This window comes from Homo sapiens, chromosome 13 (genome assembly GCF_000001405.40).
Source record: "Homo sapiens chromosome 13, GRCh38.p14 Primary Assembly".
In the NCBI taxonomy this organism is placed as follows: Eukaryota; Metazoa; Chordata; class Mammalia; order Primates; family Hominidae; genus Homo; species Homo sapiens.
The window spans coordinates 41,272,986-41,294,308 of NC_000013.11; the positions used below are offsets into that span (position 1 = coordinate 41,272,986).

Here is a 21,323-nt window from a genome sequence, read left to right on the forward strand (position 1 = left end):
TTAGCTCATGCTGTTACCAAGCACCAACAGGAAATTTGTCAAAGGTTAGAAGCATCTATGGCTGGGCATGGTGGCTCACGTCTGTAATCCCAGGACTTTGGGAGGCCGAGGCGGGTGGATCACGAGGTCAGGAGATCGAGACCATCCTAGCTAACACAGTGAAACCCCGTCTCTACTAAAAATACAAAAAATTAGCTGGGCGTGGTGGTGGGCGCCTGTAGTCCCAGTTGCTCGGGAGCCCGAGGCAGGAGAATGGCATGAACCCGGGTGGCGGAGGTTGCAGTGAGCCGAGATCGCGCCACTGCACTCCAGCCTGGGCTACAGAGCGAGACTCCGTCTCAAAAAAAAAAAAAAAAGTTTAGAGGCATCTTCACTTGGAAGCCCTCCATGGTTACCAAAATGTGAACCCCAAATATCTGAGACAGGTCTCGGTTAATTTAGAAAGCTTATTTTGCCAAGATTGAGGACACGCACCTGTGACACAGCCTCAGGAGGTCCTGACAACAAGTGCCCAAGGTGATCAGAGCATAGTTTGGTTTTACATGTTTTAGGGAGACATGAGACATCAATCAACTTATGTAAGATGAGCTGGGTGTAATCCCAGCACTTTGGGAGGCTGAGGCAGGTGGATCACCTGAGGTCAGGAGTTTGAGACCAGCATGATCAACATGGAGAAACCCCGTCTCTACTAAAAATACAAAATTAGCTGAGCGTGGTGGTGCACACCTGCAATCCCAGCTACTCGGGAGGCTGAGGCAGGAGAATCGCTTGAACCTGGGAGGCGGAGGTTGCAGTGAGCCAAGATCGCACCATTGCACTCCAGCCTGGGCAATAAGAGTGAAACTCCGTCTCAACAACAACAAAAAAAATGTAAGCTGAACACTGATTTGGTCTGGTAAGGTGGGGCGACTCAAAGCAAAGGTGGGACAACTCCAAGCTGGGAAGGAGCTTTCAGGTCATAGGTAGATAAAAGACAAATGATTGCATTCCTTCAGTTTCTGATTAGCCTCTGCAAAGGAGGCAATCAGATATCCATTAGTCTTAGTGAGACCAGGGGTGACTTTGAATAGAATGGGAGGCAGGTTTTGCCCTAAGTAGTTCCCAGCTTGACTTTTCCCTTTAGCTTAGTGATTTGGGGGCCCCAAGATTTATTTTACTTTCACAGGAACAATGGGAATACACACAAACCTTCTCTATCTGGTGCTATGTGACTTTTGGTTACAAGGAAGTAGGCTAAGGTGCTACTGGATTAATGATTAATTATAACTATATTTCTGTCCAGAATTCTTGTTAGCACTGTGAGGTGACTTTAATGACATCCTCCAAGATCCTCATGTTTCAGCTCGAGGATGACTTATTTCCTGAAAACACACTTTCAAACTTATTTTTTTGTTCATACTGCTAAAGCATATTTTTAAAAGGTAAAGTTATGACCCTTGTACAAATATGAAGTTGAACATGTGCCAAAATGATTAATTTATTAATAAATCAGAAAACCGGTAGATGTTATAACTGGTTAAAGAAAATGCCCAGACATATAAGTACACCATAAGGAATGCTGAAACAAATTTGTTGAACCCCTTTCCTGTTTGCCCTAGAATACTTGCTGGCAGTGCTTGCGGCTGGAATGTTTACTCCACGATAACTTTGACATGAAATATCTTGATTTTATTATCAATAATAAATATATAATAATAATAATAATAATATTATTTTTTGAGACACAGTTTCACTCTGCTGCCTGTTTTCAAGTGATTCTTGTGCCTCACCCTCCCAAGTAGCTGGGATTACAGGCACGCTCCACCACACCCGGCTAATTTTTGTATTATTAGTAGAGACAGGGTTTCACCATTTTGACCTCAAGTGATTCACCCCCCTTGGCCTCCCAAAGTGCTGGGATTACAGACATGAGCCTCCGTGCCCGGCCTATTATTATTTTCATATCACTCTAGTGTACCGACTTTAGAAACGAAAGACATCATTTTATTATAGCATTCTGTTTTTAGTTGCGGTACTTCCATTTACAAAACATAGTAATTCTTGATTACTGAAAATGTCAAATCCTAGAAAACCTAGCATTCCTATGCATGATGTTAACATCGTTCTCGAACAGTTGTTGGCTGAAGATTCATTTGATGAATCAGGTTTTTCCAAATTTAGTTGATTCTGATGATTCAGACAATTCTGATGTTAGTTCTGTTTAGAAATAACTCCAATAACTTTTTTTTTTTTTTAAACAGAGTCTCGCTCTGTTGCCCAGGCTGGAGTGCTGTGGCGCGATCTCAGCTCGCTGCAAGCTCCGCCTCCCGGGTTCATGCCATTCTTTTGCCTCAGTCTCCCAAGTAGCTGGGACTACATGCACCCGCCACCATGCCCGGCTAATTTGTTGTATTTTTAGTAGAGATGGGGTTTCACCATGTTAGCCAGGATGGCCTCCATCCCCTGACCTCGTGATCTGCCCGCCTCGGCCTCCCAAAGTGCTGGGATTACAGGCATGTGCCACCGTGCCCGGCTTTTTTTTTTTGAGACAGAGTTTTTGCTCTGTTGCCCAGGCTGGAGTGCAGCAGCGTGATCTTGGCTCACTGCAACCTCTGTCTCCCGGGTTCAAATGATCCTCCATCCTCAGCCTCCTGAGTAGCTGGGATTACAGGTATGCATCACCATGCCTGGCTAATTTTTGTATTTTTAGTAGAGACAGGGTTTCACCATGTTGGCCAGGCTGGTCTTGAACTCCTGACCTCAGGTGATCTGCTAACCTCAGCCTCCCAAAGTGCTGGGATTACAGGCGTGAACCACTGTGCCCAGCCTAAGAACAGTTTTTATATTTTATTTTCACATTGAAAATCAGTCAGATTTGCTCCAGGCTCAAAGAGCATATTTATGTCAAATTAAGCAAGCGTTAATTGCACTTTTTTTTTCCTAAATGGGAAAAGGGTTAAAAGATGAACAACTGCAAGGCCATAATCACTTGCCCCTCCATTGTACGCAATTTGCATTTCTAGGGACAATAATCATTTGCATTATTATCAGTTTTCTACAACTTATAGGAGTTGTAAAATGGCTTAAAGGCAGTTTACATAACAGGACACCCCATAATCTTTCACCCATTTCAAAGTCTTTAACAATTTTCACATTACTAATTCCTCTGCCTAGATTGCAAGTCACTAAAATTCTCTTCATCTAATCAGTTCCTTTTTTTTTTTTAGACAGTGTTTCACTCTGTTGCTCAGGCTGGAGTGCAATGGCATTGATCTCGGCTCACTGCAACCTCCATCTCTTGGGTTCAAGTGATTCTTGTGCCTCAGTCTCCCGAGTAGCTGGGATTACAGGTATGTGCCACCACACCTGGCTAATTTTTGTACTTTTAGTAGAGATGAGGGTTCACCATGTTGGCCAGGCTGGTCTTGAACTCCTGACCTCAAGTGATCCGCCTGCCTTGGCCTCCTAAAGTGCTGGGATTAGAGGCATGAGCCACCACACCTGGCCAAATCAGCTCTTATTAAATACCTACCATGTGCCAAGCACTCTGCTAAGTGCTGGGGTCATCTTTTAGTTATTTTTTTTTATACTTACTGAAATCACCTTTCCAAAAATTATAACAGTGAGAAAATTATGGCAGTGGAGGTGATCTGATCTAGCCAACCCCTCTCTTGCCTTTAGCTTTCAAGCTAGCTTTGGAAGACATTTAGTTTATAGTTTAAATGATAATGAGCCTTCCCCCAAACTCAACTGCCTTTGTAAAGCAATGAGAGACCTCCAGGCTGGGGGAGGAGAGGAGCCTGAATTCTGCTAAGGAGTAGACATAAATGATTGCCAGCCATTATTCCAAAGGTCCTACAGATAACATCACTATTGTAGAACCTATTGTCCTTTTGAGATATCTTTTCAGGCTTTTTGCATATCTGACACCCATAGCTCCACCTGGACCCACCCAGAAGCTACTCAGTGCAAGAGGACAGCTTCAACTCCCTATGATTTCATCTCTGCCCCAACCAATCAGCAGCAAGCACTTATTGCATAACCACCCCCATCCCTTCCCTCTAACTAACTTTGAAAAACCCTTAACCTATGAGCCTTTGATGAGATTGATTTGAGTAATAACTCTGTCTCTCAGGTGTTGTGGCTGGCCTCACATCAATTAAACTTTTTTTTTTTTTTTTGAGACAGGGTCTCCTTCTATCTGTCACCCAGGCTGGAGTGCAGTGGTGCAATTTTTGGCTCACTGTGGCCTCTGCCCCCAGGCTCAAGCGATCCTCCCACCTCAGCCTCCTGAGTAGTTGGGACTACAGGTGCATGCCACCACACCCAGCTATTTTTTTTATTTTTAGTAGAGATGGAGTTTCACCATGTTGCCCAGACTGGTCTCGAACTCCTGAGCTCAGATGATCCGCCTACCTGAGCCTCCAAAAGTGCTGGGATTACAGGCATGAGTCACCATGTCCTGCCAAACTCTTTCTTTACTGCAATGCCATGGTCTTTATTCGTGCAGCAGGCAGGAAGAACCCATCAGGTGGTTACATTTCCAGTTTATTATAAAGGATATTACAAAGGATATAGAAGAGGAGATGCATAGGGCAAGGTATGGGGAAGATGTGTGAAGCTTTTATGTCCTCTTCAGGAGCACCACCCTCCAGAAACCTCCACATGCTTAGCTCTTCAAAATCTATCCAAACTCTGTCCTTTTGGGGTTTTATGGAGGCTTCATTACATAGGCATGACTGATTTAACTTTTGGCCATTGGTGACCAAATTAGCCTTCAGCCCCTCTCCCCTCCCTGAATGTTAGGGAGCGGGGCTAAAAGTCCCAACCCTCTAATCCTACCTTGGTCTTTCTGGTGACCAGCTGCCATCCTAAAGTTACCTAGGGGCTGCCAGCCATCAGTCAACTCCTTAGCATACAACAGATATCACTTTGGGGATTTTAGGAGTTATATGACAGGACACTGGGTCAAAGACCAAATGTATATTTCACTGTACTACAGTCCACTCACAAATCTCTTACGTCAAAGGGATATACAACTCAAAAGATACTGCTATATTACTAGGATCCCATTTAATCATTAATAATCAGTCCAGTTCATTATATTGGTGAATATCTGCCAGAGTGAGGCCACTCAGGTCTGCAAGCTTCCATTCCATCTTGTCAGGTTCCTGAGATGCTCCAAGCCTCTTTCAAGGTGTTAATGCAATTTTAGATTTCCCTCAAGGTATAACTCATTTATTCATTCCTTTAATCTCCTTCTCTACTATTGTTAATGGTGGAGGGTGTCCAGGTTCTTGGCGTCTCGAACAAAGAAATGGACAAAATGCACAAACAAAGCAAGGGAGGAATATAGGGTTTTATTAAAAATGAAAGTACACTTCACAGTGTGGGAGTGGGCCCAAGCATAGGGGCTCAAAGGCCCTGTTACAGAGTTTTTGTGAGTTTAAATACCCCCTAGGATTCCATTGGTTACTTGGGATATGCCCTATGTAAACGGAGAGGATGAAGTAAAGTTACAAAGTCATTTACGGCCTATGCTCTATGCAGAGGTTATTTCCTGTTATAGCTGAAGTGTGAATTGGCCTTATGTTCCCTGCCTCCAAACCCTGCCTCACTATTCCTTCTTCTCTCCACTAATATCCAAACTTTTCCACCTTTGCAAGAGACATTAGTATCAGCCACTGCATTGGTCTAGATTGCAGGCAAGTCTAGCAAGTTACTTCCCCTCAGTCCATTCTCATTCAGATAGGATAAGAACATAGATGAAGAACTAATAAGCCATCTTTACCAACAGGCAATATAGCTACATTGACTCTTAGTCCCTGTAAATAAAAAATAAAATTCTAAGGCCTTCCAGCCATCTGAATGGACCCCTCCTCTGCCAAGAGCATTCCAGAGTTAGCCTGAAAGACTAGTTTCAGGCCATGATGGGAAGGGGGAGCTGAACATGCCTTGTTATACCCTCCTTCCCTTCCTCCTTTTCGGAATTACTGATAAAACAAACTATTTTTTATTTTATTTTATTTTTTATTTTTTTTGAGATGAAGTTTTGTTCTTGCTGCCCAGGCTGAAGTGCAGTGGCACAATCTCAGCTCACTGCAACCTCTTTCTCCCGGGTTTAAGCAATTCTCCTGCCTCAGCCTCCTGAGTAGCTGGGATTACAGGCACCTGCCACCATGCCCAGCTAATTTTTTGTATTTTTAGTAGAGATGGGGTTTCACTATGTTGGCCAGGCTGGTCTTGAACTCTTGACCTCAGGTGATTCACCTGCCTCAGCCTCCCAAAGTACTGGGATTGCAGGCATGAGCCACTGTGCCCAGCCAACTCTTAAGTCTTGGAAGAAACATTTACAATGATTCTGTCTTTGAAGCCTGCTACCTGGAGGCATCATCTGCATGATAAAACCTTGGCCCCCACAGCCTCTTAACCGTAACCCAAACGTTCCTTTCTGTTGATTCCAGGTCCTTAGATAATAACTCTTTCAACCAATTGCCAATCAGAAAATATTTGAATCTGCCTATAACCTGGAAGCCTCCCTTCTAGTTCCTGAGGACTAAGCTCTGATTTTTTATCTTGCCCAAATTATTACCTAAGGGGTGTAGGGAGTCATGCCCTACAAACCATAAATTCTCATCAGATGGGTTTTATTTGACCCTATATATCATGACTTACTTTTCAACCTGACTCTGGCATAATATTATGAGACACGGAAAAAAATATTTAACCCCAAAATATATATTTCCTTGCCATACCTTGAAATTGCCCTGCAAGGTCTCTCATGGGAAAAATCCACATTCTATAGAAAATCCCCTTTCCCCTTTGTTTTCCTTCCTTTCTTCCAGATCTAGGATATAATCAACTAAGAGGCACCCTTTTAGGTCTGATAAGAAACATTTTACAATCTGCTCTCTCTCTGAGGACTGGTATCTGAGAGATTTCTCTGCAAAGTAAAATTTGGTCTCCACAATCCTTTATTTTATTTTATTTTGAGACAGAGTTTTGCTCTGTTGCCCAGGCTGGAGGACAGTGGCCCGATCTCAGCTCACCACAACCTCCGTCTCCCAGGTTCAAGTGATTCCCCTGCCTCAGCCTCCCAAGTAGCAGGGACTACAGGCGTGTGACACCATGCTTGTCTAATTTTTGTATTTTTTGTAGAGATGGGGTTCACTGTGTTGGCCAGGCTGGTCTTGAACTCCTGACCTTGTGATCCGCCCACCCTGGCTTCCCAAAGTGCTGGGATTACAGGCGTGAGCCACCGCGCCCGGCCCACAATCCTTTATCTTAACCTAAACTTTCCTTTCCATTGATCCCAGGTCTTCAGATAAACTCAGCCAATTGTCAACCAGAAAATGTTTAAATTTATCTATAGCTTGGAAGCCCCCCGGCTTAGAGTTGTCCTGCCTTTCTGAACCAAACCAGTGTATTTCTTAAATGTATTTGATTGATGTCTCATGCCTCCCTAAAAATATATAAAACCAAGCTGCACCCCAACCACTTTGGGCACAGGTTCTCAGGACCTCCTGAGGGCTGTGTCACGGGCTGTGGTCACTAATATTTGGCTCAGAATAAATCTCTTAAAATATTTTACAGATTTTGACTCTTTTCATTGCCACACCTTTCTGGACCAATGTATATCTTACATGTATTGATTGATGTCTTATGTCTCCCTAAAATGTGTAAAACCAAGCTGTACCCTGACCACCCTGGGCATATGTTCTTAGGATCTCCTGAGGGCTGTGTTACACGCCACTGGTCACTCATATTTGCCTCAGAATAAATCTCTTCAAATATTTTACAGAGCTTGACTCTTTTTATTGACACCTCAATTTTGCCAGATGGGGTGAAGGTACAACCCATCTCCATCAGGTCCCTAGGAATCCTGGCATAAGGTTTAAACACATTGTGGCAGTTTCTTGCTTAGGAATCATTCTTGCTTCTAGCATTTGTATTTGCATCCCTGATCCTAGGACTCTTGCATCAGGTAGCGGAGAAAAAGTTGAGGTGACGTGGGGAAGAAAGAAAAGAAACTACAATCATTATAGCAGTATACACCTCCCTTGGTAAGAATTGTATATCATACCAGCATTGTCCCCACCTCCTCTTTCCCAGACCAACCAGAGTAACAGGAGAATCCAGTGTGGATACCCCTCATGTCGAGTGTGAGCACACACTCAGGAAGGCGTGTAAGCCAGCCCTTCATGCATTTATCTTTCTCTGTTTTAGACAACCAATGTTTTAATTGCCAGTTTCACTCCTCTATCAAACTATTACTCTGAGGAGGAGATTTTCCCGCTCACTGTTAGACATTATGGGCTGTACAGTGTGTTCCTTGGTCTGAGGAAATTGTGGTCAGCCATCCAAATCCATGCAATATCTTCTGGTTTGTTTTGTTTGTTTGTTTGTTAGTTTTTGTTTTTTTTTTTAAATAGCACTTTGAGAATTTGTATTTTCCACTGGGTAAGCAAAGCCAGGTCCAGAGTCAATGTCTATTCCTGTGAAGGCCCATTTGTAGTCCCGAGTGCTACCAGTATCAGACTCACTTGCCAACCATGTTCAGGGCCTTGCCACCAGGGAATCTGCCCATAGTCACTGGCAGTATCTATATCTTATGCTGATAGACACAACAGTTTTTACTGGCATTATGTGCCTGAGAGGGTGAAAAAGAACGTGTTTAGATTTAGCCCATCTCTGCATTGTTGCAGTATCCCCATATCCGCCCATTCCATGGACCCAGGTGGCCACTTTGTAACAGTACTGACTCCATGTTAGAGAAAAGCTTGTTTGCTAGAATGGAATTATTGCTTTGCTTGAATTTGTAGATTATTTACTAAAAACAGCCTCAGGAAAACAGGATCTTCAACGAAGGTAAAAGAAAATACTCTGCCCAGGCCGGGCACGGTGGCTCATGCCTGTAATCCCAGCACTTTGGGAGGCCGAGGTGGGCAGATCACGAGGTCAGGAGATCGAGACCATCCTGGCTAACATGGTGAAACCCCGTCTCTACTAAAAATACAAAAAAAATTAGCCAGGCGTGGTGGCGGGCACCTGTAATCCCAGCTACTCAGGAGGCTGAGGCAGGAGAATCACTTGAACCCGGGAGGCGGAGCTTGCAGTGAGCTGAGACTGTGTCACTGCACTCCAGCCTGGGCGACAGAGCAAGACTCCGTCTCAAAAAAAAAAAAAAAAGAAAATACTCTGACTAACAGCTCTGGGAATAGGCTGACCAGCTGGTAAGAATAGGCTAATGGCGATTGCAGAAGGTCACAAAACATTGACAAGAAAGCAATGATTCAGCCTGGGCAACGGAACAAGACCTTATCTCTTCTGAAAATCAATGAAATAATCTGGGCATGGTGGCATGTGCCTATACTTCCAGCTACTTGTGAAGCCGAGGCAGGAGGATTGCTTGAGCCTGGTAGATTGAGGCTGCAGTGAGATGGCACCACTGCATTCTAGCCTGGGCGACAGAGCAGAACCCTGTCTCAGAAAAAGAGAAGTAATAATTAACTGCCTGTCTGAAACTGTGCACATTTCACAAGAATGTTTTGATCATCATTTCCCTAATTTCCCTTAAAAGCCCCAGATCTGGAAGCCCAACTTGGAAAGGTAGTCTTTGAATGCTAGTTGACTACCTTCCCTACGTTGCTAGCTTCTTGAATAAAGTTAACTTCCCTTTCACCAAAACTTGTTCCTTAAGTTTTTGGCTTTCAAGCAATGAGTGGCTGGACCTGAGTTTAGTTACAATCTCAAGAGAGCATATGGGGATATTTGTTTGATAATTCTTATCACCTGCCAAATCTGGAAGGGGTATCTTTTGATGGGCATTGCCATGTCCTACTTAATGAATGCCTCAAATTTTGATAGGGCTATGCCCCATATGGGCTTCCCTTTAATTGGATTCCATTGCCCTCCTGCCTGACTGTGTGGCCAGGTCATTGGCGACTGCCCTTGGGTCAGTAAAAACCCAAACATAAGGACTTTTTTACCACTGTTCAATTCTTCCATCACTGCTAGGAAAATAGCACACAATTCTGCCCACCAAGCTGATTTGTTTTTACTTTCTTTGATTGGGGTGGTATCCTCCCAAATAGGATGATGTCCATTCACCTTGAAACTGCCATTCACAAGCTAAGCAGATCTTTGTCAGTCATTTGAGAGCTGTTCATTGGGCACTATCCATGCGATGATAGAATCTAGCAGCTCTTCACACAGTTCCAGACTTAATCTTAGGGGGAAAAGTTTTCTCTGTTTATCCCTTCCTTGTATTCCTCAGGTGGTTGATCCTGTATAAACCATTTCCATTTTATCATGGAACTCCTCTGGGCGCTGCTGTCCCCATTAGAGTGTCTCTCTGACACCGACCAAGACATCAAGTTTCAAGATCATTTGTGTCCTTCAGTCATGGGGGTAGCTTCAATTAATGTCCCATATCAAGGTAGCAAATGCCCCTTCATTGGAAATTCTTTAGTCCAATGTTCCAGTTAATTGTCACTGAGAGGTGCTCACAGACTTTTACCTTAAGCTCCAGTTTACATTCCACATAGGGCTAACAAATAGAGAATTTGTTCATACCAGGACTCCAGCTTCTACTCTACATTCTGTGTGAGCTCTGACAATCTTTTTTTTTTTTTTTTTTTTTTGAGACGGAGTCTCGCTCTGTCACCCAGGCTGGAGTGCAGTGGCGCGATCTCGGCTCACTGCAAGCTCCGCCTCCCGGGTTCACGCCATTCTCCTGCCTCAGCCTCCCGAGTAGCTGGGACCACAGGCGCCCGCCACTACGCCCGGCTAACTTTTTGTATTTTTAGTAGAGACGGGGTTTCACCTTGGTCTCGATCTCCTGACCTCGTGATCCACCCGCCTCGGCCTCCCAAAGTGCTGGGATTACAGGCGTGAGCCACCGCGCCCGGCCTCTGACAATCTTATTTGTTCCCGTTTAGCATGTTCAAATAATATTGCTTAAAGGGCAGATTGACATGCCTCCTGTTTTACAGCACTAGGTGGGGGAAACATTCCCCAGTTGGGTACAATGTCCATCCCCATAACACAATCAGGTAAGACGCAACCACATTACATTGTGTTCAAACACACTAACTTTTCTATAAACCTTTACCTTAATTCTATCAACACTTTCCTATCTGTAGCCTCCATTAGAACTTTACAGCCCATGAGTTCAAGACCAGCCTGGGCAACATGGGGAGACACCATCTCTACAAAAAAATTAAAAGTTAGCTGATTAGGCCTAGCACGGTGGCTCATGACTGTAATCCCAGCACTTTGGGAGGCTGAGGTGGGAGGATCACCTGAGGTCAGGAGTTTGAGACCAGCCTGGCCAACATGGCAAAACTCCATCTCTACTGAAAAAAAAAAAAAAATGCAAAAATTAGCCAGGCCTGTAATCCCAGCTACTCGGGAGGCTCAGGCAGGAGAATCACTTGAACCTGGGAAGCAGAGGCTGCAGTAAGCAGAGATTGCACTCTAGCTTGGGTGACAGAATGACACTCTGTCTCAAAAAAAAAAAGAAATTAGTGATTAGGCCACTGCACTCCAGCCTGGGTGACACAGTGAGACCGTGTCTCAAAAAAAAAAAAAAAGGAAAAAAAATTTCTCTGATAATCTACAGGATACATTTGGCAGTTTACTTTAATAGTCAACAGGCTCTAAATTAATTAATTAATTTTGAGACAAAGTCTCCCTCTATCACCAGGCTGGAGTGCAGTGGCGTGATATCGACGCTGGAGTGCAGTGGCGTGATATCAACTCACTGCAACCTCTGCCTCCCAAGTTCAAGTGATTCTTGTGCCTCAGCCTCCCGAGTAGCTGGGATTGCTGGCACCCGCCACCACAACTGGCTAACTTTTGTATTTTTAGTAGAGACGGGATTTCACCATGTTGGCCCGGCTGGTCTTGAACTCCTGACCTCGGGTGACCAACCAACTTTGCCTCCCTAAGTGCTAGGATTACAGGCATGAGCCACTGTGCCCGGCCTGTCAACAGGCTTTTAAGTTTACTCCCCTTGAGGAGGTATTATGATTCATGGCAACATCATCTCCCTGAGTAAATAATCTTATTGTGAGTTCCTCGAATTGTTGACTTACTGATTAACGTATGATCTACTGATACTGAAATGAAAAGGATGCTGATTTATTTCTGAATCATGAAGTTTTACTTATTGTCTGGCATGTGGACATTTTAGCTTATATGTTGCAATCTGTAGTCAATGATGGTATCCTCTAATGAAAAAGGACAACTCTGGTATGAGGAGTCCTCTTCCCTTCTTCTAAACTCTCCTATAAAAGCCTTCCAACTTGTAACAGACTCTGGAAAACTCCCAACTTGGTTGGCGTGTCTTCCTGGGTTGATCTTCACATTTGTCTTCCAGTAAACTTTTATCAAATTATTTCTGTCCCAACAGCCTTAATTTTGGCTGACATTTTTGGTGTAGCTGGCAGGAATTCAGAGTGATTTCCCTGGATCACCCAGCATGGCTTCTGACCCTCTGCAGGTACTGGCAACAAACCCATTGCATTACTGAACTTGATGGCCCTGCTGGATGCTACAGACGAGTTCCTTCAGAATCAATAAACTTCCCATCTTGATCAAAGTTCTGGTTTATTGAAGCTGGTATCCTCCTTGGCTAGGAGGTACAAAGACTCTTTCAGACAGAGAGTTACTGCTATGAGTTCAAGGTAAGGGTAGAATTCTAGGGCAGGGTAAAATAGGAGATCTGTGAATTGTTATTCTGGAATTTTGGGGAGAGACAACCTTTTCCTTTCTCCTTTTTGATTGCATGAAGTTGAGACACTCACTGCCTCCAGCCCAATGGGAAAACTGGGCCGGGCGTGGTGGCTCATGCCTGTAATCCCAACCCTGCAGATTGCCTGAGGTCAAGAGTTTGAGAACAGCCTGGCCAACATGGTGAAACCCCGTCTCTACTAAAAATACAAAAATTAGCCAGGAGTGGTGGCATGAGCCTGTAATCCCAGCTACTTGGGAGGCTGAGGCAGGAGAATCACTTGAACCCAGGAGGCGGATGTTGCAGTGAGCCGAGATCGAGCCACTGCACTCCAGCCTGGGTGACAGAGCAAGACTCTGTCTCAAAAAAAACAAACAACAACAACAACAAAAAAAAAAAAAAAAAAGGGAAAACTGAAACTAGCAGAGGTGTCAGACATACTACCCAAAATATGTAGCAATCTTATAGGAGAATCCTCACACAACTTTTTGCTTAGTTGACAGGCTTTCTAAAGACTGATCATCTCTTGCCAGTGAGCATCCTGCCACTTCTTTGGAAGTGATTTGGGAATCCAAGATACATAAAAGGATCTTTTCAGCCTGTTGGGTGAAATATATAGGAAGAAAGATTCTAGCCAGAACACTTGATCCACTACATAGTTTGTCTTGCTCAAAACCAAGATAGAAAATAGGTCTTCTAAGACTGAAGGTGCACCATCTCTGTCAACACCGGATGATTTTATGTATAATACTTACGGTTCTTCTACTTGCAAGTGCTTAGATAAGTGAACCTGCTAACCCAGGATAGTCATAAGCAGCATTGGCAAAATGGGGATTTAAAAACAATTGTTTTACCCATGACATTTTTATTCAGTTTGATTATTCCTTGTGAAATGAGTGTAAATTAATCTCTACTTCATATCTTATCAAAATACGATCTTCATCCTTTGATCACATCGAGTGTTTCACACACTCCACTCCAGTACACCCACAACTAAGAGCAGAATACTTCATTACAGGAAACATGTGAATCAGAGTTCTGTTCGAAATCTTAGCCAAAGCTGGTCAATTTTTTTTAACAAAAATTCAGTATAAAATAAAACAGACTGATCCAAAGAGCTGAGTTTGTTATACTCATTTCATTATGATATACAGTACGATGTTATGTAATGAACATGGGTTGATAAATTATTGGTGCGTTAAATGGCAATGTTTCATTAAGGAGGCTGTTCTGCTTTACCTATCGGAAAATTACTTAGAAAATGTCTGCATTTCCTATTTTAGAAACTACAGTTTTCCCAAAGACAAAGGTCTTTAAATAGTTTAATGCTTAGTGTTCTTAACATAACAATGCAACTTAGTTCAGAAGGTATTTTGTCAACTCTTAATCTAAGTAAGAATAGGGGTGTGTTAGGCCATTCTTGCATTGCTATAAAGAACAACCACGTGGCTCAGTTATTTATAAAGAAAAGAGGTTTAATTGGCTCACGGTTTTGCAGTGTGCAAGCATGGCTCCAGCAACTGTGTGGCTTCTGGGGAGGCCTCAGGGAGCTTTCATTCATGGCGGAAGGTAAAGACAGAGCAGGCACCTCACATGGCCAGAGCAGGAGTAAGGAGGATGGAGTAGGTGCAACACACTTTTAAACAACCAGATCTCGTGTGAACTCAGAGCGAGAGCTCACTTATCACTAAGGGGATGGTGCCAAGCCATTCATGAGGGATCTGCCCCCATGATCCACACTGGAGACTACATTTCAACATAAGATTTGGAGGGGACACATATCAAACGATATTAAGGGGATCTAAAAAAATAAGGCTTTAAGAAGTCTTGTCATTTTAGAGCTAAATTTTAAAGAATGTGAGTCTCAACTTTTATCTATAGAACAAACAAAATCTTAAAGTGACTGAGTGGTTCAAAACGGTTTTATGGAAAATTAATCTGTAACTAAAATTTGGCATTGAGTGAGAAGGCGCTACCATTTTTTAAGCAAAATGTACAACAGTTTTAAAGGGCAGGGCTAAGAATGAGAGGCTCAGACATTTACAACAGCAGGCATTTTCTCTTCCTCTTCTTCACAGGAGGTGGGCAGAGAACTGCTCAGATAGCTTTGTCAAACACCGTTTTGAACCCTCGCTATGTGAGAGCCAAGCACTTCAGGTATTTTAAAGCGCCAATCTCCTTATTCCTGGCTAAAAACTGCAGATAGGTGATGGGAGTCAGCTTCTTCTCCTTCAGTTTCTCAATCGTGTCTTTAACAACATTAAGATCAAGTTTACTTCCCACAAGAATGATGGGAGTGTTGGGAAAATGGTGCTGCATTTCAGGATGCCACTCTGCACAGACATTTTCAAATGATGCAAGACTCACAAGGGAGAAGCATATTAAAAATATGTCTGTTTACAGATAGAATGGGGGCATAATCTGTCATAATCTTCTTGTCCAGATGTATCCCATAAGCCCAGATTCACTGGCTTTCCATCTACCTTAACATTGGCAGCAGAATAATTGTCAAAGACAATAGTGATAATGCATTGGGAAATGCATTGGGTGTAACACTGATTAGTAGGCAAGTTTTACTTGTAGCTCCATCTCCAACCACCACACACTTGATGGCTTGCACCTGGGTCACTCGCTGGGCCCTGGCAGTGGTGGTTAGGCACTAAGGCAAGAAGTGGTGGGATAGAAGCATGGTAGGCAGGTGCATGGCTGCAGGTGGCAGGGGATGGGGTGCCAAGGTCGTTGTCCATGCCACCTCACCCTTAGCCCAAAATGGGAATCTTTTGAAAATGCTAAAATAATTAATTCACATGGACAATTGGAAAAAGATGGGATTAGACAAACTGAGTGGGAGGCTTACTGTCACCAGCACTTAGAAGCTTCTATTTAGGTGAGTGCAAAAGTAATTGCAGTTTTTGCATTGTTGGAATTTGCCATTTGGTATTGGAATACACTCTTAAATAATGTGGTTATGATATACATCATTTTAGTGAGTATTTTTCACTTTATTTCTTTTGTAATGACATTACTCGATTTTTTTTGTTTATTTTAGACTATGGAAATGATGTTAGACAAAAAGCAAATTCATGCAATTTTGTTATTCGAGTTCAAAATGGGTCGTAAAGCAGCGGAGACAACTCGCAGTGTCAATAATGCATTTGGTTCAGGAACTGCTAATGAACATACGGTGCAGTGATGGTTCAAGAAGTTTTGAAAAGGAGACAAGAGCCTTGAAGATAGGGAGCATAGTGGCCAGCCATCAGAAGTTGACAATGACCAATTGATAGCAATCATCAAAGCTGACCCTCTTACAACTACACAAGACGTTGCTAAAGAACTCAACGTTGACCATTCTATGGTCATTTGGCATTTGAAGCAAATTGGAAAGGTGAAAAAGCTCGATGAGTGAGTGCCTCATGAGTTAAGCAAAAATTTAAAAAAAAATAATTTTTTTGAAGTGTTGTCTTCTCTTATTCTACGCAACAACAACGAACTATTTCTTGATTGGATTTGTGCAGTGAAAAGTGGATTTAAATTTTTTTTTTTTTTTTTTCTGAGATGGAGTCTCGCTCTGTCACCCAGGCTGGAGTGCAGTGGTGGTGCAATCTCAGCTCACTGCACCCTCTGCCTCCTGGGTTCAAGTGATTCTCCTGCCTCAGCCTCCCAGGTAGCTGGGGTTATAGGTATGTGCCACAATGCCTGGCTAATTTTTGTATTTTTAGTAGAGATGGGGTTTTGCCATATTGGCCAGGCTGGTCTCGAACTCCTGCTCAGGGGATCCACCCACCTTGGCCTCTCAAAGTGCTAGGATTACAGGCGTGAGCCGCCGTGCCCAGCCGAAAAGTGGATTTTATATGACAACTGGTGACAGTCAGCTCAGTGGTTGGACCGAGAACAAGCTCCAAAGCACTTCTCAAAGTCAAACTTGCACCAGACAAAGGTCATGGTCACTGTTTGATGGTCTGCTGCCGATCTGATCCACGACAGCTTTCTGAATCCCTGCAAAACTATCACATCTGACAAGTATGCTCAGCAAATCAAAGAGATCCACTGAAAACCGCAAAGCCTGCAGCCGGCATTGGTCAACAAATAGGGCCCAATTCTTCTCCATGACAACACCCAACCACACATTGCACAACCAACGCTTCAAAAGTTGAACAAATTGGGCTATGAATTTTTGCCTCATCCAACATATTCACCTGACCTCCCGCCAACTGACTATCTCTTCTTCAAGTATCTCAACAACTTTTTGCAGGGAAAACGCTTCCACAACTAGCAGGATGCAGAAAATGCTTTCCAAGAGTTTGTTGAATCCCGAAGCACGGACTTTTATGCTACAGGAAGAAACAAACTTATTTCTCATTGGCAAAAATGTGTTGATTGTAATAGTTCTTTTTTTTTTTTTTTTTTTTTTTTTGAGATGGAGTCTCGCTCTGTCTCCCAGGCTGGAGTGCAGTGGTGCAATCTCGGCTCACTGCAACCTCCGCCTCCCGGGTTTTACGCCATTCTCCTGCCTCAGCCTCCCGAGTAGGTGGGACTACAGGCGTGCACCACCTACGTCCGGCTAATTTTTTTGTATTTTTAGTAGAGACGGGGTTTCACCATGTTAGCCAGGATGGTCTTGAACTCCTGACCTCGTGATCTGCCTGCCTTGGCCTCCCAAAGTGCTGGGATTACAGGCGTGAGCCACCACACCCAGCCTTTTTTTTTTTCTGATACGGAGTTTTGCTCTGTCACCCAGGCTGGAGTGCAGTGGCACAATCTCGGCTCACTGCAACCTCTGCTTCCTGGGTCCTAAGCGATTCTCCTGCCTCAGCCTCCCAAGTAGCTGGGACTACAGGCCTATGCCCCAGTGCCCAGCTAATTTTTGTATTTTTAGTAGAGATGGGGTTTCACCATGTTGGCCAGGCTGGTCTCGAACTCCTGACCTCATGATCCGCCCACCTCGGCCTCCCAAAGTGCTGGGATTACAGCTGTGAGCCACTGTGCTTGGCCTGTAATGGTTCTTATTTTGATTAATAAAGATATATTTGAATCTAGTTATAATGATTTAAAATTCACCCTCTAAAACTGCAATTACTTTTGCACCAACCTATAAAAGAAATTTTGTAGAGGCTGGACGCAGTGGCTCATGCCTGTAATCCCAGCACTTTGGGAGGCCGAGGTGGGTGGATCACCTGAGGTCAGGAGTTCGAGACCAGCCTGACCAACATGGAGAAACCCCGTCTCTACTAAAAATACAAAAAAAATTAGCCAGGCGTGATGGTGCATGCCTGTAATCCCAGCTACTCGGGAGGCTGAGGCAGGAGAATTGTTTGAACGTGGGAGGCGGAGGTTGCAGTGAGCCGAGATCACGCCATTGCACTCCAGCCTGGGCAACAAGAGCAAAACTCCGTCTCAAAAAAAAAAAACAGAAAAAAGAAATTTTGAAAAAAGTTGCCTCTATTCAACAGGTAAATAAAAGGATACCAGAAACTATTTTTCTTTTCCTTTTCTTTGAGATAGGGTCTTGCTCTGTTGTCCAGGCTGGAGTGCAATGTCATGATTACAGCTCACTGTCATCTTGCCCTCCCAGGCCCAAGTGATCTTCCCACCTCAGCCTCCCGAGTAGCTGGGACTATAGGCACACCCCACCACTCCTGGCTAATTTTTGTATTTTTAGAAGAGACGGGGTTTTGCCACGTTGCCTAGGGATATCTTGAACTCCCAGGCTCAAGCGATCTACCCGCCACAGCCTCCTAAAGTGCTGGGATTACAGGTGAGCTGCCGCACCTGGTCAGCCTGAAACTATTTCTAAATTGAAAAAGATTTAGCGACTTTCTCCCTTTCACCTCCAACTGCTTCTCCCTATCCTTCTGGCTCCTTCCCCACCCCTACTCCCTTATTTGAACTCATTCCTTTCTGCTTGTACCTCTAGCTCTCATATATCTCCTAGGTAGAGACTTTTGGAATTTCACAATGCATACATTTCTTTCTCTCAAAAGAGGGAAAGGTATTTAAATGTAGAACAGATAAGCAAACAGAACAGCTACAGAACAAGAATAAAACTACTGAGATTGTTAAAATACAGATCCAACAAATTTTTTCTAAACTGGGACTGATAAATGCCACTTATGATTTACTGCAAGCATTCCTGGACCTTTTGTGATCTTAGTCTTCCACTGTCATTGGTAAAATATATTCAGCTGCCCCCATTAAAATGGAACACTTAATTGAAAAATTAGAAATCTAAAAGAGAAAGAACTATATAAGTGTTTATAAAAGTTAGGCTCTTAGATCAAACAGATCAAAATCTTGAGCTTGGAGCAATAATATAAGGAATCTCTGTTCAATACAAAAGTTTTACTTTTTCTGCTATGCAGAGACCAACAAAACAAAAACAAAAACAAAAACAAAAAACAAACAAAAACAAAAAGCTGAAAGAAGAGAGAGAGAGCGAGAGAGAAACTGCTCTAATCTTTCCTGTCCACATTTGTTAATCAAGCAAACCAGACTGGTAAACAAAAGATAGATTTGTTACTAATTCAAGGATAATTGGGGATTTTATTTTTCTTATTCAATTCAGCCAGTCCTAGCCAAAATGTAAACATTAAAAATTTGACCTTGGCTGGGCATGGTGGCTCACGCTTGTAATCCCAGCACTTTGGGAGACCAAGGTGAGAGGATCATGAGGTCAGGAGATCGAGACCATCCTGGCTAATACGGTGAAACCCCGTCTCTACTAAAAATACAAAAAATTAGCTGGGCGTGGTGGGTGCCTGTAATCCCAGCTACTTGGGAGGCTGAGGCAGGAGAATGGCATGAACCTGGGAGGCGGAGCTTGCAGTGAGCAGAGATCACGCCACTGCACTCCAGCCTGGGCGACAGAGGGAGATTCTGTCTCAAAAAAAAAAAAAAAAAAAAAAATTTAAACAAACTCATTTGAAACTGAAAAGAAGGGTAAAATTGATTTTACAAAAATCAAACTGCTCTAGCACTTTGTGAAGCAAAGGCATGAGGATCATTTGAGGCAGGGAGTTCAAGACAAGTCAGGGTAACAATAGTGAGACCCTCATCTCAATGAAAATAAAAATAAAAATAAAAATAAATTAGCTAGGTGGTGGCATGCACCTGTAGCCCTAGGTACTTGGGAGGAGGCTGAGGTGGGAGGACTGGTTGAGCCAAGTAGTTCAGGGCTGCAGTGAACTATGATTATGCCACAGCACTCCAGTCTGGGTGCCAGAGTGAGACACTATCACCAAAAAACTAAAATCAAACTGCCACAAAAACTTATTTGCCTGAAATTTTGGTCCACAGTCTTCATTAGATTATCTGTAAGGGCAATTAAATTTTAGCCATGTGAACACATTCCAATTTAGTCAGAAATATAATTTGGATCCAATTGTCTTTTATGAACCAGTGAGTTTTTATTACTATCTCATGACTAAAATTCTAAAATGAAAGCTGTGAAATCTTTGTGTGTGTGTGTGTGTGTGTTTAGATGTATTTATACATATATACATGTATTATATGCTGTGTCTACATGGTAAAATCTGGCATAGTTGACCAGAAATCTCTTAAGGATAAATTAGTGCTCATATAAAATATATAGTAATTAATCCTAATGGCTTTTAGTTTTTGTTAAATGAGTAAAGCATTAATAAATAAGATGATTTTAAAATTATTGGTAAAACAAAAATAGAAATGTCTTCAGAATTGTCAGCATACACTTTGCCTGGGTTTACTGGTCAGACAGTTTTATATCTTTCTCTGCTAGATATCTGAAGCTGTCATGGTTTAACACAAAGGTTATAAAAGTATAAACTCAGCCTAAAACAGAATGATCTTTGAGTAATTTTGTGATAAGACTAATTTAATGTTACAGCCGTATCTTCTGGCTTATCAGCAAAATACCAATATACTTCACTTTAAGGCTCTTATTTAAGTGAACACCTGATAGTCACAGGCTATAAAAATGGATAACAAGGAAATAATTTGATACCATGACTAACTTTGTCTAATACCTCAGTTTTCAGAAATAATCTAGGTTATCTGCTAAAATAAATAAATTAGGTAAATTAAATAAATTTCCATAAATGAACTTTTAATGTAATTTGATATCTTAAAGTTGTGTTAAATTAATAGATACTAATTAAATCTGGGTCATTATCAAATAAAATTTTAAAATTGTGTTATAGGGAAACATGTTTCTAAAAATTACAAAATGATTCTCATGATAAATATTGATATATTGAAAATGAACCAGGTAGGTAAAAAAAGAAAACAAATTAAAAGTAAAATACTGATATGTGACAGACAATTCAAGATCTTGCTTCCTAGGTTTCATTAAATTTAAGAGTTAAAAATTGTAATCAATATATAGAATTCTGTATATAAAGAGTACATATATATACACAAAATGTATTTTTGATAGAAAAAAATTATAAGAAAGTCACAAAGTGGCTGGGCACTGTGGCTTATACCTGTAATCCCAGCACTTTGGGAGGCCAAGGCAGGCAGATCACGAGGTCAAGAGATTGAGACCATCCTGGCCAACATGGTGAAACCCCGTCTCTACTAAAAATACAAAAATTAGCTGGGCGTGGTGGTACGTGCCTGTAATTCCAGCTAC

General features: G+C 42.5%; 1 protein-coding gene and 1 pseudogene across 4 annotated transcripts in view; both read right to left on the reverse strand.

The window, feature by feature from the left end:
- MTRF1 (mitochondrial translation release factor 1) overlaps window positions 1-21,323 on the reverse strand; it is a 95,670-nt gene that overhangs the window by 56,617 nt on the left and 17,730 nt on the right. The window lies entirely within an intron of this gene.
- On the reverse strand, window positions 14,521-15,475 carry RAC1P3 (Rac family small GTPase 1 pseudogene 3; annotated as a pseudogene).